Source organism: Homo sapiens, chromosome 8 (genome assembly GCF_000001405.40).
Source record: "Homo sapiens chromosome 8, GRCh38.p14 Primary Assembly".
In the NCBI taxonomy this organism is placed as follows: Eukaryota; Metazoa; Chordata; class Mammalia; order Primates; family Hominidae; genus Homo; species Homo sapiens.
In genome coordinates this window covers 121,333,702-121,336,409 of record NC_000008.11, presented here as the reverse complement: position 1 = coordinate 121,336,409, position 2,708 = coordinate 121,333,702, and the positions used below count along the sequence as shown (strand labels likewise).

General features: G+C 43.2%; 2 annotated features.

Annotated features, from left to right (window-relative positions):
* Positions 1,313 to 1,897: an enhancer, noted in NCBI's record as "NANOG-H3K27ac-H3K4me1 hESC enhancer chr8:122346753-122347337 (GRCh37/hg19 assembly coordinates)". NCBI's record gives its function as "activates a minimal SCP1, AML or CMV promoter by ChIP-STARR-seq in naive H9 embryonic stem cells {active_cell/tissue: H9 hESC(naive)}" and the evidence as "EXISTENCE:reporter gene assay evidence [ECO:0000049][PMID:30033119]".
* Positions 1,898 to 2,482: an enhancer, noted in NCBI's record as "NANOG-H3K27ac-H3K4me1 hESC enhancer chr8:122346168-122346752 (GRCh37/hg19 assembly coordinates)". NCBI's record gives its function as "activates a minimal SCP1, AML or CMV promoter by ChIP-STARR-seq in primed H9 embryonic stem cells {active_cell/tissue: H9 hESC(primed)}" and the evidence as "EXISTENCE:reporter gene assay evidence [ECO:0000049][PMID:30033119]".

The window sequence follows — 2,708 nt, the reverse complement described above, 5'->3', positions numbered from 1 at the left end:
CTGTGAGGCGGAGGTTGCGTGAGCCAAGATTGTGCCACTGCACTCCAGCCTGGGTGACAGAGGAGACAGTCTCAAAAAAAAAAAAAAAAAAATTCCTTGAATTAGCCCTCAGGCATATTTTGGCTTACATAAGGCTATTCTGATAATATAAAATAAACCACATGAAAGTAAAGTTATAAAGCTATTTGAATCACTTAATGACATATTTGTTTCTAGATTTCATTTTGAGTTTACCACGACCTTTCTCAGATTATGTAAAATGCTTTCCTAAAAAATGGTTGTAATTTACCACTTTACTAGGATTATAGTATTTTTCTTTTACTGTGTGATGTTGGTAAATTTTAGCAACCCCGAAGTCAGCTCATTATCATGTTGCCAGTTTAGATTTTAAAGGAGTACCTAGTGTAGGTTTCTTTGAGATCTCTAACACATAATCGACTATATTGTTTAACATTTCCACCTCTATGATGAAATGAGTGCACAAGGGAGAAGGTGAAAGTGAGAAAGGTCAGGGGAATAACGTTGAATCCATCTTACCACCAAATTACATCCATGTCTTAAGAAGCCTTGTTCCAATGTGGATTGGGTTTCCTCTGACCTACGGAGAAAAAATAAACAGAAATGTTTTTCAAAGAAAAGGAAAAAATTTCCAAGCTGTAAACATTTAATTGTAATACAATAACACAAGTTAATTTGCAAGTAAAAAACACATTTTAGTGATTTAAAAAAAAAATCGAACCTGGGAAACCACCCAAAGCTTTCCTCCAAAGAAAGTATTCTAGTGAAGCCTGAACGGCGCAAACACACCCTGTGATTATCACCAACTGGGAACTGTGGAAGCCCCTTAATGCCAAAGCATGAAAAAGCATTTTAGCAACACATGCCAGCTACTTGTTCCAAGCTATTTCACAAATTCAAAGAGGGCAGTTTACAAAAAGCATAGTACATACAGTGTTTGTTTCTATGTCATTTATTCTTTTAGATATTTATTTGAGCTCAAACCCACTGTGCTTATTGGATATAGCAGAAGCAGGGAAGGGACAGTTGTAACCTTTCCTTCTCAAAGCCATTATAAGGTCAGTTTTACCAAACCAGTTGTCTCTTATAAGAATAATTGACTTGAATGGTTTTACCGACTTTAAAAAATTTAACATAATGGCAGGACCCCCAAACTTACCTTGACGAACACTCTATTCCAGTGGAGAACATCCTATATGCCAGCTGGCTTGGGTGTGTTAAACTGTATACCATTATTACAATGCCTAGTTCTTTATAAGACCAAATAAAGATCCTGGTTCTAAATTATCATAGGTAAATATATGGACCATGCAGCATGAAGCCTGTATGTAGTTATAAATAAGATGACAATAGTACAATCTACAAAGCCCCAAACTCAAGATTTTATAGAACAGTCCTCATAATTAAGCTCAAACATTATTATTTATTGGTAGATGAAGTGCACCATCCTTGGCTTTCTTTGGTCAGTATTGGCCTGGCAGGAATGAAAAAAGAAATTGTTCTGGTAACATATAAAAATCTGACATCTTAAATAAACCTTTTAACTTCCCTAATCTTGAAAATAAATTTTTTTGGTGGGTAAGGAAGATGGCCGAATAGGAACAGCTCCGGTCTACAGCTCCCAGCGTGAGCGACGCAGAAGACGGGTGATTTCTGCATTTCCATCTGAGGTACCGGGTTCATCTCACTAGGGAGTGCCAGACAGTGGGCGCAGGTCAGTGGGTGCGCGCACCATGTGTGAGCCGAAGCAGGGCGAGGCATTGCCTCACTCGGGAAGCGCAAGGGGTCAGGGAGTTTCCCTTTCCTAGTCAAAGAAAGGGGTGACAGATGGCACCTGGAGAATCGAGTCACTCCCACCCGAATACTGCGCTTTTCCGACGGGCTTAAAAAACGGCGAACCACGAGATTATATCCTGCACCTGGCTCGGAGGGTCCTACGCCCACGGAGTCTCGCTGATTGCTAGCACAGCAGTCTGAGATCAAACTGCAAGGCGGCAGCGAGGCTGGGGGAGGGGCGCCCGCCATTGCCCAGGCTTGCTTAGGTAAACAAAGCAGCCCGGAAGCTGGAACTGGGTGGAGCCCACCACAGCTCAAGGAGGCCTGCTTGCCTCTGCAGGCTCCACCTCTGGGGGCAGGGCACAGACAAACAAAAAGACAGCAGTAACCTCTGCAGACTTAAATGTCCCTGTCGGACAGCTTTGAAGAGAGCAGTGGTTCTCCCAGCACGCAGCTGGAGATCTGAGAACGGGCAGACTGCCTCCTCAAGTGGGTCCCTGACCCCTGACCCCCGAGCAGCCTAACTGGGAGGCACCCCCCAGCAGGGGCACACTGACACCTCACACAGCCGGCCTGGTACTCCAACAGACCTGCAGCTGAGGGTCCTGTCTGTTAGAAGGAAAACTAACAAACAGAAAGGACATCCACACCAAAAACCCATCTGTACATCACCATCATCAAAGACCAAAAGTAGATAAAACCACAAAGATGGGGAAAAAAACAGAACAGAAAAACTGGAAACTCTAAAAAGCAGAGTGCCTCTCCTCCTCCAAAGGAACGCAATTCCTCACCAGCAACGGAACAAAGCTGGATGGAGAATGATTTTGACGAGCTGAGAGAAGAAGGCTTCAGACGATCAAATTACTCCGAGCTATGGGAGGACATTCAAACCAAAGGCAAAGAAGTTGAAAACT